A 15,002-nucleotide genomic window follows, 5' to 3' on the forward strand; every position below is an offset into this window, starting at 1 on the left:
AATGGCGTGAACCCGGGAGGCAGAGCTTGCCGTGAGCCGAGATCGTGCCACTGCACTCCAGCCTGGGCGAGAGAGTGACTCCGTCTCAAAAAAAAAAAAAAAAAAAGTGTTTCCCAGATGACAGAGTTAGATGTTAAACATCACAAAGTCGGTGGATATTAAATGTATGATTGTTTTCATATCTTTAGCCCCAAAATAATAAATGTTCAGTGGAGATGTCCAAAGCCAGGCCCAATGCCTGGGGAGCTTCCACTGCTTATCTCTCTCCTGAATCCAGAGTATTCTGCCCTTCACAGAAGTGCTGATCGTTCAGAGATAACCCACCAATCAGGTGTGCCTTTAGGGTTAGGCCAGCAAACCACAGGCTGCCAGCAAACCACAGGCTGGAAACTGGGAATGTCCTTGGGGTCCTGGGGCCTTGGCTGTTCTCACCCTTTCGGCCACAAAAAGGCTCTTTCTTGGCTGCCAGAGACCCTCCCTGGGGTAGAGAGGGAGAAGGAGAGGGAAAGGGAGAGAGAGAAAGTGAGTTGGGGGAGCTGGGTAACTAAAAGACAAGGAGTTGATGTATTCTAGGCGCTTGAAAGTTCAGAAGACTATCTCTTTTTTTTTTTTGAGATGGAGTCTCGCTCTGTTGCCCAGGCTGGAGGGCAGTGGCGCGATCCCTGCTCACTGCAAGCTCCGCCTCCCGGGGATCCCTGCTCACTGCAAGCTCCGCCTCCCGGGTTCAAGCGATTCTCCTGCCTCAGCCTCCTGAGTAGCTGGGATTACAGGCATCTGCTATCGCACCCAGCTAATTTTTGCATTTTTAGTAGAGATGGGGTTTCACCATGTTGGCCAGGATGGTCTTGATCTCTTGACCTCGTGATCCGCCCGCCTAGGCCTCCCAAAGTGCTGGGATAACAGGCGTGAGCCACCACACCCGGCCAAAGGCTGTCTCTTCTAATTACTGAGGTTTTAGAACCATTTTCCTCAACTCTCCCTCTTGCAAGAGTCCGTAGTGGGTGTGCTCAAGACCTGAGCTTGAGTTATCATGCCCACTAACGCCCTGGCTGAGAAGTTCCCACCAAAAGACAGCGGTGACATTTGCTTCCCAAAAGTCCCAAAACCACGCTCCCCGTTAGCCTCGGCGCCTCACAGGGAAAAAGAATCGGCTCTGGAGGGACGACCCCCCGCAGCGGGCGACTGTACCGCTGACGGGCTCGGCCAGCACATCTCCGCATCGCTGGGCCTCAGTGTCCTCACCTGGAAAATGGGGGTGATCACGCCAACGTCACAGAGTCCTTGGGAGAATGAAATGAGGCAATGCCTAGAAGGTGTCTCCACTGCAGTCCCTGGCACGGGGAGGTTGCAGCCTTCTGTGGCAGCCTTGGCTGGTTATCACGCAGTTCACAGCTTCAGGGCCAGAGCACAGATCCTGGTTCAGCCACGTATCAGCAGCACAACCGGGAAAGCCAGTCGGCCCCACGGTGCGTCCTCCAGGGGCCGCATGAGGAGAGACGATACACGCCAGCACTCAGGGCCCAGCACGGGCCCCCCACTCAGTGAAAAGCATCCTCTCACTCTTAGGCTTGTCATGATCATGCACCGGCAGCGTCCCCCTCGGTTACGAACCCCATTCTAGATGACAAAGCACTAGTAACCCACGTACAGTAGTGGCTGAAAAACCGTCACAGGAATCATCCTCAGGGCCTTCGAGGTCACAAGCGTGACGGGGACGCGCAGGTGCTGATGTGAGATGGACTCTGTATGTGAATGAGGCTAAAAGACTCACTTTCCTAAATATTATGGGCAGACATAATGGGGCTACACAGGCATTGAGCTGATTTTACACAGTTATGGACAATGGGCCCTCTGTACCCACAGGTTCTACATCCACGGATTCGACTAACCCCAAATCAAAAATATTCAGGGCTCGGCGTGGTGGCTCACACCTGTAATCCCAGCAATGCAGGAGGCCGAGGTGGGCGGATCACTTGAGGCCAGGAGTTCGAGACCAGCCTGGCCAACAAGGTGAAACCCCATCTCAACTAAAAATACAAAAATTAGCCGGGAGTGGTGGCACGTGCCTGTAATCCAAGCCACTCGGGAGGCTGAGGCAGGGGAACTGCTTGAACGCAGGAGGCAGGGGTTGCAGTGAGCCGAGATCCTGCCACTGCACTCCGGCCTGGGCAACAGGGTGAGGCTCCCTCTCAAAAAAAAAAAAAAAAAAAAAAGGGCCAGGCATGGTGGCTCACGCCTGTAATCCTAGCACTTTGGGAGGCCGAGGCGAGCTGACTGTCTTGAGCTCAGGAGTTTGAGACCAGTCTGGGCAACACGGTGAAACTCCGTCTCTACTGAAATACAAAAAAAAAAAAAAAAAATTAGCTGGATGTGGCAGCGTGCGCCTGTACTCCCAGCTACTCGGGAGGCTGAGGCAGGAGAATTGCTTAAACCCGGGAGGCGGAGGTTGCAGTGAGCAGAGATGGCACCACAGCACTCCAGCCTGGGTGACAGAGACTCTCTCTCAAAAACAAAACAAAACAAAAAAATCAGTAAAAAGAATTTTTTAAAAAAATGTAAAAATACAAATAAAAAATAAAATACAACACAGCATAACGACTATTTACATAGCAATGTATTAGATGTATTAGGTATTACTCATAATACATTGTATTAGGAATTATAAGTAATCTAGAGGTAATTTACAGTACACAGGATTACCCCATTTACCCTGGTGTGATGATCACACGTTGTATGCCTGTATCAAAATATCTCACGTCCACCATAAATATGTACACCATAAAAATTAAACAATAAAGAAAGAAAACAAAGGAAACAAAACAGAAAAAAAAGAAGAAAATAATAAAGTAAATTGGAGATGTACACGGGTTATATGTAAATGCTATTTTATATCAGCAACTTTGGCATCACGGGATCTGGGTACTGAGGGGTAGGAGCGGCCCTGGGACCACCTGCCCACAGGCACTGAGGGACGGCTGTGGAACTGTACAGGGCCCGGCCCTGCGCTGGGGACCTAGCGGTGAACAAGCAGCCTGGGAAAGGAATGTTTAAAAGCTCCCGGGCGACTGAAGATCAGCCAGGGGTGAAAACCATCACTCGGTGCTTCACGGAACAAACGCTTGAGGCAAAACCTAAGACAGCTGGGTCCCAACGCGGGGCCTCACCCCGGCCCGTCCCGCCCCAGCGCTCGGAGGCTGAGAGCAGCATTCTCAGATGGTACTAAATCCACATCCCGGGACACGAGGAAACAGCAGGGCCAGGGCACGGCCTCCTCCTCTCCCCGCGGCCTCCTCCTCTCCCCCCTGCCTCCTCCTCTCCCCGCGGCCTCCTCCTCTCCCCCTGCCTCCTCCTCTCCCCCCTGCCTCCTCCTCTCCCCCCTGCCTCCTCCTCTCCCCCCTGCCTCCTCCTCTCCCCCCTGCCTCCTCCTCTCCCCGCGGGCTCCTCCTCTCCCCCCGGGCTCCTCCTCTCCCCCCGGGCTCCTCCTCTCCCCCCTGCCTCCTCCTCTCCCCCTGCCTCCTCCTCTCCCCGCGGCCTCCTCCTCTCCCCCCGGCCTCCTCCTCTCCCCGTGGCCTCCTCCTCTCCCCCCTGCCTCCTCCTCTCCCCGCTGCCTCCTCCTCTCCCCGCGGCCTCCTCCTCTCCCCGCGGCCTCCTCCTCTCCCCCCTGCCTCCTCCTCTCCCCGCTGCCTCCTCCTCTCCCCGCGGCCTCCTCCTCTCCCCGCGGCCTCCTCCTCTCCCCCCTGCCTCCTCCTCTCCCCGCTGCCTCCTCCTCTCCCCGCGGCCTCCTCCTCTCCCCGCGGCCTCCTCCTCTCCCCCCTGCCTCCTCCTCTCCCCGCTGCCTCCTCCTCTCCCCGCGGCCTCCTCCTCTCCCCGTGGCCTCCTCCTCTCCCCCCTGCCTCCTCCTCTCCCCGCTGCCTCCTCCTCTCCCCGCGGCCTCCTCCTCTCCCCGCTGCCTCCTCCTCTCCCCCCTGCCTCCTCCTCTCCCCGCGGCCTCCTCCTCTCCCCCCTGCCTCCTCCTCTCCCCGCTGCCTCCTCCTCTCCCCGCGGCCTCCTCCTCTCCCCCCTGCCTCCTCCTCTCCCCGCGGCCTCCTCCTCTCCCCCCTGCCTCCTCCTCTCCCCGTTGCCTCCTCCTCTCCCCGTGGCCTCCTCCTCTCCCCCCTGCCTCCTCCTCTCCCTGCTGCCTCCTCCTCTCCCCGCGGGCCTCCTCTGTTAGGACCCACCTCCCTGCCTCAGTCTGGAAAGGGGCAGCCACGTGAGGACCTCTGAGACCCTGGAGAGCCACTGGGCTCAGCCTGGAGCAGTGGGGGCTGGGGTGGGAAGACGCCATGCATTGTTCAGCCCCAGCATCTGCCTGGGCACCTTCTGGTAACAGTCATTTGGCCAGCAGCTTCTCGGGGGCTAACGGTCAATGCCAGAAGCAATTAGCCCCAGGTCCTGGTCCTCCTTGGAGCCAAAACAATTAGTAGGCTGAAGACAGCCTGATGCTTAAGAAATCACTTTTTTAAAAAGGAAAAAAAGATTGCTTAAAAGAAGCCCCTTAACTCTGAAGGCAGTTCCATCCACCTTACAAATTCGGTGCCCTGTGAATACACATCCATGGGTCACAGCAGGGAATCTTTTTAACTAGAAAAAGAGCAGGAGAAGGAATTCAGATCAACATCACGGACTGCAGCAGTAAAGCTGGTGCCTGTTCGCCCCTTTCCCCTCCAGGCAGGAAAGAATCAAGGAAGAATTTCAGAATCTTTTTATACAAGAAAGGGATTCGGTGGGGGAAGGGAGTGGGTACAGAGATGAAGAACTTTAGGGTTTGCTATTTCAAGCTTAAAATAAATCCCAACGAGAAAGGATCCGAAGGCTTGGTTTTATTTTTAAGATCTTATCCAAGGCAGGGAACTATATCTGGTTTTCAGGGGTGTGTGGGGTGCAAACGGCCGGGCCAGCACAGTCATTTCATCCCCTGTCGATTCCCCAAAAGCAAAACCAAAGCTCAGCATGTGCTTCTAGAACTTTCTATATCTGGTGTTCAGGGGTGGGTGGGGTGCAAACGGCCAGGCCAGCACAGTCATTTCATCCCCCGTCCGTTCCCCAAAAGCAAAGCCAGAGCTCGGCATGTGCTTCTAGAATTTTACAATCTTGAATTACGGCTTCAAAATAACTCACATTCCACTATAAGGAGGCTCAGAGGATGCCACCGAGTGGACGGACGTGAGCAGGACCACAGAGACAACCCAGTGGGACACGCAACACTGTTCCCAAGATGTTAGCAGGGGAAAGAGTCGGACGAAATGGCGAAGTGTTTGGCACAAAGAAGACCAACAAATGACACACCAAGCCAGTAAAGACACCTCCGTAAGAAAGACACATTCCTCCCCAAATCTACTTTAGGAGCTACTGCTGTCAACTCTTGACTTTCTGGAAGTCTAACTAGTACAAGGTCCAATCCTCAATCGCTTATGAAACAAAATCAGAAAAAACCGGGTAGAACCCTAGTACTCCGCATTATAAAAAGCACTTCCGGCCGGGCACGGTGGCTCACGCCTGTAATCCCAGCACTTTGGGAGGCCGAGGCTGGCAGATCTTTTGAGGTTAGAAGTTCGAAACCAGCCTGGCCAACATGGTGAAACCCTGTCTCTACTTAAAAAAAAAAAAAAAAAAAAAAAAAAAAGCTGGGCGTGGTAGCGGGCGCCTGTAAGCCCAGCTACTTGGGAGGCTGAGGCACGAGAATTGCTTGAACCCGGGAGACAGAGGTTGCAGTGAGTTGAGATCACACCACTGCACTCCAACCTGAGTGACAGAGTGAGACTCCATCTCGAAAAAAAAAAAAAAGACTGAACAGCTTCTCTTTAGAACTTTCTAACACACCCCCAGGTGGAGGCCAGTGTTGCAACGATCGCACGAGGGACCAGAGGGTAATTCTGCAGCCTGATCTCTCTGTTGAGATGCTCACGCTCTCTTTTTGCAGACATGATGTGGTTAAAGCCAGGGTCTTTCTCAATCAATACATTTTAAAAATGCGAGCTGGGGGCGGGGGCGGGGGTTGGGGGCGGGAGGGTCTGTCAGCTGTGTGGAGACAAACCTCCTGATCCAGGCGCTCTCTGGCAGAGGCGGGCAAGCCCCACTTCCATGTATGGAAGTGAATGAAAGCAGTAAAACCTCAGGCATGAGTCTGGGCAGGGCTGGGGGTGGGGGCCGGCATTCCTCCCAGCAGGGCCAGCCCCAGAGGGGCGGGCAGCAGGAACCTTCACCTGGGGTCCCGTGGGTATTTCCCTGGGAGAGCCACAGGGGCAGAGAGGACGGGAGGCAGGAAAGCAATGAGCTCGGCACACTCAGTAGACGGAGGGCACCCGGGAAGGGGAGCTCAGCCTCCCCGAGAATGCACCAGAGCCTGAGTCCTGGAAACCAGGGCCACGCAGCTCCCGCCTGCCCTGACCTCAGTCCCCTGGAATGCAGAATTCTCCACGGTCAGCCATCCATCACCACCGCTCCCTCATGGCCAGCGCTGAAAGAAGGGGCGTTTCCGTTTTTGTGGGGGGCGGTGGTGGTTGTGGTTTTTGTGGTCTGAGAAACTCATGACAGTTACCCACCTCCTGCCAGGACAAGGCCACAGGAGGTTGCAGAAAATTCAGGTCACACTGTGGGGGGGCTGGGGTCAGAGAGACCAAGGTTGGAACCCGGCAGGTACCACGGACGGTCACACTGTGGGGGGGCTGGGGTCAGACAGACCAAGGTTGGAACCCGGCAGGTACCACGGACGGTCACACTGTGGGGGGGCTGGGGTCAGACAGACCAAGGTTGGAACCCGGCAGGTACCACGGACGGTCACACTGTGGGGGGGCTGGGGTCAGACAGACCAAGGTTGGAACCCGGCAGGTACCACGGACGGTCACACTGTGGGGGGGCTGGGGTCAGACAGACCAAGGTTGGAACCCGGCAGGTACCACGGACGGTCACACTGTGGGGGGGCTGGGGTCAGACAGACCAAGGTTGGAACCCGGCAGGTACCACGGACGGTCACACTGTGGGGGGGCTGGAGTCAGAGAGACCAAGGTTGGAACCCGGCAGGTACCACGGACGGTCACACTGTGGGGGGGCTGGGGTCAGACAGACCAAGGTTGGAACCCGGCAGGTACCACGGACGGTCACACTGTGGGGGGGCTGGAGTCAGACAGACCAAGGTTGGAACCCGGCAGGTACCACGGACGGTCACACTGTGGGGGGGGCTGGAGTCAGACAGACCAAGGTTGGAACCCGGCAGGTACCACGGACGGTCACACTGTGGGGGGGCTGGAGTCAGACAGACCAAGGTTGGAACCCGGCAGGTACCACGGACGACAGGTTCCTGCTGCCCATCCCTCTGGGAGGAATGACGGCCAGCAGAGCCAGGACCCACTTCTCCGTCCTGGAAGACGCAATGAGATAATACATGAAAAGCAGTAACAAGGTGGTCCTAGAGGGGTCCTAGGCTACCCCGTGTTAAAGATGAGAGCCATGAAGACCACTTCAAGGTGGTCCCTGGAATCCAGTGAGGGGCTCAGTCCACAGAAGCCATGACTGATGATCATTATCATGGAACCCTCCAGCTCAGGGAATGTCTGAGTAGCTCCCTGAAGTCCAAACGGAAGACTATGACCCTTGGGAGGCCGAGGCGGGCGGATCACCTGAGGTCAGGAGTTTGAGACCAGCCTGGCCAACATGGTGAAACCCCATCTCTACCAAAAATAGAAAAATTAGCCAGGCATGGTGGCTCACGCCTGTAATCCCAGCTACTTGGGAGGCTGAGGCAGGAGAATCGCTTGAACCCAGGAGGCGGAGGTTGCAGTGAGCTGAGATCGCGCCACTGCACTCCAGCCTGGGAGACAGAGCGAGACTCCGTCTCAAAAAAAGAAAAGACTATGACCCCCCTCCCACCACAAGCAGGACGAGGCACCTCGGATGCCCCACACCCCCTGTCCCTGAGGACGAACTCTAAGGAACAGGAGAAACATTTTTATAACTTCCTCGCGCCCAGCATAAACCTGTTAGGATTCTCCAGCCAGGCCCAACCTTATAAACCTATGTCAAGTTCAAACTATACTCTCAACAGTTGTACTTATCACTCCACAGAGAATTCACACTCCCTTCTCTAAGGAGTCCAGAGTGAGACAGAGGCTCGTATCTGTCATCCCAGAACTTGGATTGCTTGAGCCCAGGAGTTCAAGACCAGCCTGGGCAACATAGTGAGACCCCCATCTCTAACAAAAATTTAAAAATTATCTGGGCGTGGTGACACGCGCCTGTAGTCCCAGCTACTCAGGAGGCTGGGGTGGGAGGATTGCTTGAGCCCAGAGGTTGAGGCTGCAGTGGGCCATGACCGTGCCACTGCACCCCAGCCTGCGTGACGGGTGCGGGAGGATGATGGTGCATGCACGTGGTCGTGTGGCTCCGTGCTGCGGCTCCTCTCTGTCTAGCAAAGTGCAACTCTCAACTCCAAGGAGACCTATGCTGGGTTTCACAAAGTACTTGAAAGCACACCAAGATGATTCTTGAATAACTGGCATTAGACACGATTCTCACTCCTGGCCAGGCGCCGTGGCTCATGCCTGTCATCCAAGCACTTTGGGAGGCCGAGGTGGGCGGATCACCTGAGGTCAGGAGTTCGAGACCAGCCTGGCCAACATGGTGAACTTCCATCTCTACTAAAAATACAAAAAAACTTAGCCAGGTGTGGTGGTGCACGTCTGTAGTCCCAGCTACTCAAGAGGCTGAAGCAGGAGAATCCCTTGAATCTTGAAGGTGGAGGTTGCAGTGAGCCGAGATCGCACCATTGCACTCCAGCCTTGGTGACAGAGCAAGACTCCATCTCCAAAAAAAAGAAACGCTTCCCGCTCCTAAGTTTTGGGATACCTAAATTCTCTCTCGAGTCAAGTGGCAGGTCTGACCCGGCAGCCTCCCTTCCAAATTCTCCAGGCTCAGGGCAAGCACGTGTCCGGGGCTGTCCTGCACCAACTTTTTGTTTTTCTCCTACTCAGGCATATTCGACCTCCCTGCTCAGGTTCCAGTGACTTCCTCAGAGCAACAGGGCTGATTCCCACGACCCCAGGCCCCAGGGCCGAGTGCCAGGTGCTCAGGTCGCAGCTGTCCCTCAACACCACTCGGGAAGGGGGCTAACTGCCCGGACGGGCCCCAGGATCACGAGCCTCCTCTCCTTCCCTGATGGCCCAACAGGAAAAAGTACTGTGGCTGCCAAGCCATCTGGATGGAATGGAATGGCTCTCTACCAGTTAGGGGCCGCATCGGCCTAGACTCCCAGATTGAAGCACCTGACCTTCTGTAAATTCCTTTCTTTACATTGCACATATTTCAGCGCTGGTATTCCCCCTCTTAAGAGCTCTGAGCTGTTGTCCAGTGAGGTAACATGTTTGTTTTTTCAGCCCTGGGTTACAGCCACTCGAGGCTTTCCACATAGGAGGTCTGCCCCGCGTCCCGGGCCTGACCCCAGCCCTTCCACAGGAAAACAACTCTGCTGTCAGGAATGAGCCCCCGCGACGGGGAGAGTGGTCTTTTCTAGAGGCTGGGATATGTAAACTCACACGGGAAAGATGGGCCTGTGGTATTTCCCTCTTTTCCAGCATGCTCATCTCTTTCTTTTTTTTTTTTTTTTTTTTCCTGAGACAGAGTCTCGCTCTGTCACCCAGGCTGGAGTGCAGTGCTATGTTCTCAGCTCACTGCAACCTCCGCCTCCCGGGTTCAAGCGATTCTCCTGCCTCAGCCTCCCGAGTAGCTGGGATTACAGGCATGCGCCACCACACCCTGCTAATTTTTTATTTTTTTTAGTAGAGATGGGGTTTCACCATCTTGGCCAGGCTGGTCTCGAACTCCTGACCTCAGGTGATCCACCCGCCTCGGCCTCCCGAAGTGCTGGGATTACAGGCATGAGACACTGTGCCTGGCCTCATCTCTTCTCTAAGAGCAAAACTTGGCAAAGTCTGACAGACACTGGTTGGACTTCTTTTAAAGGCTACCAGGAAAACTGCCAAGAAATATGACTGGCCCAGCCAGACGCGGTGGCTCACGCCTGTAATCCCAGCACCTCGGGAGGCCGGACGCGGTGGCTCACGCCTGTAATCCCAGCACCTCGGGAGGCCGAGGCGGGCGGATCACAAGGTCAGGAGATTGAGACCATCCTGGCTAACACGGTGAAACCCTGTCTCTACTAAAAAAAAATACAAAAAAAATTAGCCGGGCGTGGTGGCGGGCGCCTGTAGTCCCAGCAACTCGGGAGGCTGAGGCAGGAGAATGGCGTGAACCCGGGAGGCGGAGCTTGCAGTGAGCCGAGATTGTGCCACTGCACTCCAGCCTGGGCGACAGAGCGAGACTCCATCTCAAAAAAAAAAAAGAGAGAGAGAGAGAAATATGACTGGCCCAGCCATACAGAGGCTGAGAATCTGGAGGCTGGTCTGCCATCTGACCGCCTCCTCCCTGAGCCTCAGTTTCCCTGCCTGTCAAAGAAGACTGTGGCCACATAATCCCCCTGTCCTTTCCAGGGTATCATTCAGTGACTGCATTGTTCAATATTTTGAAATAAGGGCATTTAATTATGATGACAGCACCAATAAACACTGAGACTCACCTTTCTGCTTGGAATTCCAAACCTCTTCCCACCGGAATCCCGCCAAGCCTTCAACTCTCCATCCAAACCATTCATTCTTTCTTTCAATAAACACGGTGCCAAGTATTTACTAATAAGAGGTGTCGAACGTGTTAAGTAAGAAGGACACAAGGAGGAAAGACAGTTTCTCTGCCCTCAGGAAACCATCGGGTCTCGTGGAACAGAACAGTGGTCACCGTCTTCTGGCCTTTTCCTCTGTGCCCAGCACTATGTTCAGGGCTTTTTATTTTTATTTATTTATTTTGAGACAGAGATTCTCTCTTGTCACCCAGGCTGGAGTGCAACGGCACAACCTCAGCTCACTGCAACCTCCACCTCCCGGGTTCCCGCCATTCTCCTGCCTCAGCCTCCCAAGTAGCTGGGACTACAGGCGCCCGCCACCACGTCCGGCTAATTTTTTGTATTTTTAGTAGCAATGGGGTTTCACCGTGTTAGCCAGGATGGTCTCGATCTCCAGACCTCAGGTGATCCGTCCACCTCAGCCTCCCAAAGTGCTGGGATTACAGGCGTGAGCCACCGCGCCTGGCCAAGAGCTTTTTATATCAGTCATCGTCTTAAACCTCCACCGCAACCTGACAAGGTGGACGCTGCTATCGTTCCCACTTTACAGATGAGGAAGTGGGGTTAAAGTAACTTGCCCAAGATCTCAAAGCTGGAGAGCGGGAAAGATGGATCAGAACCAGGTCATCCAGGAGAGAGGCTGGCCCCTCCGTTCTCAGAGCTCCTGCGGGCAACTCCAGCCCTTTTAGAACCAATACCATGGTCATCACCCAGAAAAAACTCTAAATTTATAGGTATATATATTTCATGCCTTATCTCCCCAGCTTAATTATAAACGCCTTTGAAAGCTGGGACTGAGTCATTTATTTCTCTGCATCCTGACACTGCCTGAGGCCAGTGAGATGCTCAGAAAACATGTGACCAGCAGGGGCCTGGCGGAGCTGAGACAAGGCAACAACGTGCAAAGGTGATTTGTGTAATATGAGCACATACGATGAAAACATCTGGCTTGAGAGCGTCCTCATCCCTGTCACCACCCCCCTCCCCCAACACTACGCCGTGTGGAAAACACCTAGAGGAACTTCCTCTACTTCACACACAGAAGCCAGGAACCCCCCGGGATCTTCTCTGCACTCTAAGGAAGCTGATAGAAAATGCATTTCTGGGCCGGGCGCAGGGGCTCACTTCGGCCATCCCAGCACTTTGGGAGGCCAAAGCGGGTGGATCATGAGGTCAGGAGTTCAAGACCAGCCTGGCCAAGATGGCGAAACACCGTCTCTACTAAAAATACAAAAATTACCTGAGCGTGGTGGTGCACGCCTGTAGTCCCAGCTACTCGGGAGGCTGAGGCAGGAGAACTGCTTGAACACGGGAGGTGTAGGTTGCAGTGAGCCAAGATCAAGCCACTGCACTCCAGCCTGGGCGACAGAGCAAGACTCCATCTCAAAAAAAAAAAAAAGCATTTCTGCAACCCGGCCCAGCAGAAGGTTCTTTGGTTTGAGTGTGGCCTCCTTGGTCAAAAGCACCTGTCTCCTATCCCGTCAAGGAGGTCAAACCTCCTTGGTACAAAAAGCACCTGTTTCCTGTCCTGTGGCATGTCTGGAACCCAGACTCTCTTTCTCAGTCCAAGCCCAGACCCGAGAGAGGCAGCTCTCACCTTGCAAACAGACCCCCGCAGTCAGCTTCTCAGTCTTCACACAGAAATCACACCTCCACGTCAGCATCGCCCAGAATGTATGTTCCTGGGGCTCTGCCAAGGGAACCTCTGTTTTCCTCACAGAACGTGAAAATGTTTCCACGGAGCACGGGCAGCCCCCATCACTCATCAGGTTCCAAACATGCATCCTCTCGCTCCATCCTATACTTAGGCGCCTCGGCAGGATCAAATGAACCCTCTCCGTCTCAACTTTCCCCTTCCTTCCCACACGGCTATTTATATCTGGAATATCTCTCTGTCTTAATCCACTGGACTACCCTCCCCCTCGTTTGAAAAGGTCACTTGCACATTCTTCTTTCCAGAAGGCTTTTCTTGCAGGAGGTGGCTGCCAGCTTGTCCCTTCCCCGGTGCCTCTGCCCAACAAGACATGACGGTGAGCAAGGTTACTCATCTTCCGAAAATGCTAACGTGCTGACTGGGGCTAACCCTACGCTAAAGCAAAGCCTTCAAAAACTGGAAGCAGCAGGGCGCGGTGGCTCGCACCTGTCATCCCAGTGCCTGGGAAGGCTGAAACAGGAGGATCGCTTGAGGCCAGGCGTTCAAAACCAGCCCGGGCAACATAGCAGGACTCCAACTCTACAAAAATTAATCTTAAAAATTAGCTCACTCCTATCATCCCAGCACTTTGGGAGGCCGAAGCGGGTGGATCACGAGGTCAGGAGTTCGAGACCAGCCTGGCCAACATGGTGAAACCCCATCTGTACTAAAAATACAAAAATTAGCCAGGCGTGGTGGCGTGCGCCTGTAGTCCCAGCTACTCAGGAGGCTGAGGCAGGAGAATCACCGAGGCGGAGGTAGAAGTGAGCCCAGATTGTGCCACTGAACTCCAGCACAGGCGACAGAGCGAGACTCCCTCTCAAAAAATAAAATAAAATAAAAATTAGCTGGGGAGGTGGTGAGCTCCTGTAGTCTCAGCTTCTCAGGGGGCTGAGGTGGGAGGATCGCTTGAGCCCAGGAGGTCAGGGCTGCAGTGAGTCATGATCACACTACTGTGCTCCAGCCTGGGTGACAGCCTGAGACTTGTCTTTAAAAAAGAAACACACACACACACATACACACACACACACACGATACGAGTTCTTTCATCTTGCAAGAAAGAATCATGCGGATGTGCGCGGAGCCGAGGGACCATGGTGGCCGCGGTGTGGTCACTGATGAGGTTCCTCATCACGGGCGGTGTGGCTGGAGGCGCGTCGACCTGATGTATGGCCAGGAGCTGCTGGGGCCCAGCAACAAGAGCCGAGCGCCCCTACGGAAGGCTGGAGAGGTGGTTCCCCGCCACGTACCAGTTCAGCCAGTACGTGTGTCAGCAGACAGGCCTGCAGATACCCCAGCTCCCAGCCCCTCCAAAGCCTTCCTTTCCCCTCCATGACTCCTGGAATGCAGGTATCATCACAGCTCTGTAGGCCCCTCCCAGGCCCGCGACACTCCAAGGAGGGCTGGGAGTACGTGGAGTCGCGCAGAGGCTGCCTGCCCCGGCCAGAGCGGGAGAACGGGCAGGGCGCCACTGGCCTGAGGACTCCAGACTGGGACCCCACTCCCAGGGAAGCTCCCAGCCTCACCGGCCCAATAAAGGACTTCAGAAGTGAGAAAAAAAAAAAAGGTGAAATAGGCCAGGCGCAGTGGCTCACACCTGTAATCCCAGCACTTTCGGAGGCTGAGGCGGGCAGATTACTTGAGGTCAGGAGTTCAAGACCAGCCTGGCCAACATGGTGAACCCCTTTCTACTAAAATACAAAAATTAGTTAGGTGTGGTGGCAGGCGCCTGTGATCCCAGCTACTCCAGAGGTTGAGGCAGGAGAATCATTTAAACCCGGGAGGTGAAGGTTGCAGTGATCTTAGATCGCGCCACCACACTCCAGCCTGGGGAACAAGAGCGAGACTCTGTATAAAAAAAAAAAAAACAGGGCTGGGTGTGGTGGCTCATGCCTGTAATCCCAGCACTTTGGGAGGCTGAGGCGGGTGGATTACTTGAGGTCAGGAGTTCCAGACCAGCCGGGCCAACACAATGAAACCCTGTCTCTACTAAAAATACAAAATTAGCTGGGCATGGTGGCAGGTGCCTGTAATCACAGCTACTCGGGACACTGAGGCAGGAGAATCGCTTGAACCCGGGGGGCAGAGGTTGCGGTCAGCCGAGATTGCACCACTGCACTCCAGCCTGGGAGACAGAGCGAGACTCCATCTTTAAAAAAAAAATGGAATAATCAAGTGATTACATTTGGAACATGTGGGAATCAGAAACCCACCACCCACGGAGGCCACCACCTAACACAACAGTAAGCAATGGGGGTATTTACTTCAATCTTCCTTTTTATGTATCTGTTTAATACAGTGCCATCTATAATCATGGTATCATGTATAATTTGGGATCTCGCTTTTCTGAATGCAGTATGTGAAGTATAGGTCTACAGCTCTATATTCCAGCAAAAACTTTTAACCGCCAACCCTTTTTTTTGTGACAGGGTCTCCTTCTGTCACTCAGGCTGGGGTGCAGTGGCAGGATCACGGCTCACTGCAGCCTCAACCTCCCAGGCTCAAGTGATCCTCCTGCCTCAGCCTCCTGAATAGCTGGGACTACAGGTGTGCACCAACATGCAGGGCCAATTTTTTAAGTTTTTGGAGAGACAGGATCTCCCC

General features: G+C 54.5%; 1 protein-coding gene across 3 annotated transcripts in view, besides 5 other annotated features; it reads right to left on the reverse strand.

Annotated features, from left to right (window-relative positions):
• The window catches only part of NXN (nucleoredoxin), a 180,467-nt gene that overhangs the window by 146,232 nt on the left and 19,233 nt on the right, over positions 1 to 15,002 (reverse strand). The window lies entirely within an intron of this gene.
• Positions 657 to 1,549: an enhancer, noted in NCBI's record as "H3K27ac-H3K4me1 hESC enhancer chr17:849438-850330 (GRCh37/hg19 assembly coordinates)". NCBI's record gives its function as "activates a minimal SCP1, AML or CMV promoter by ChIP-STARR-seq in primed H9 embryonic stem cells {active_cell/tissue: H9 hESC(primed)}" and the evidence as "EXISTENCE:reporter gene assay evidence [ECO:0000049][PMID:30033119]".
• Positions 1,550 to 2,441: an enhancer, noted in NCBI's record as "H3K27ac-H3K4me1 hESC enhancer chr17:850331-851222 (GRCh37/hg19 assembly coordinates)". NCBI's record gives its function as "activates a minimal SCP1, AML or CMV promoter by ChIP-STARR-seq in primed H9 embryonic stem cells {active_cell/tissue: H9 hESC(primed)}" and the evidence as "EXISTENCE:reporter gene assay evidence [ECO:0000049][PMID:30033119]".
• Positions 4,227 to 5,119: an enhancer, noted in NCBI's record as "NANOG-H3K27ac-H3K4me1 hESC enhancer chr17:853008-853900 (GRCh37/hg19 assembly coordinates)". NCBI's record gives its function as "activates a minimal SCP1, AML or CMV promoter by ChIP-STARR-seq in naive H9 embryonic stem cells {active_cell/tissue: H9 hESC(naive)}" and the evidence as "EXISTENCE:reporter gene assay evidence [ECO:0000049][PMID:30033119]".
• Positions 9,601 to 10,101: an enhancer, noted in NCBI's record as "H3K4me1 hESC enhancer chr17:858382-858882 (GRCh37/hg19 assembly coordinates)". NCBI's record gives its function as "activates a minimal SCP1, AML or CMV promoter by ChIP-STARR-seq in naive H9 embryonic stem cells {active_cell/tissue: H9 hESC(naive)}" and the evidence as "EXISTENCE:reporter gene assay evidence [ECO:0000049][PMID:30033119]".
• Positions 10,192 to 10,420: a silencer, noted in NCBI's record as "fragment chr17:858973-859201 (GRCh37/hg19 assembly coordinates)". NCBI's record gives its function as "represses an EF-1alpha promoter that drives an FKBP-Casp9 reporter gene in an ReSE screen in K562 erythroleukemia cells {active_cell/tissue: K562}" and the evidence as "EXISTENCE:reporter gene assay evidence [ECO:0000049][PMID:32094911]".

The sequence above is a fragment of the Homo sapiens genome, chromosome 17 (assembly GCF_000001405.40).
Source record: "Homo sapiens chromosome 17, GRCh38.p14 Primary Assembly".
Classification (NCBI taxonomy): Eukaryota; Metazoa; Chordata; class Mammalia; order Primates; family Hominidae; genus Homo; species Homo sapiens.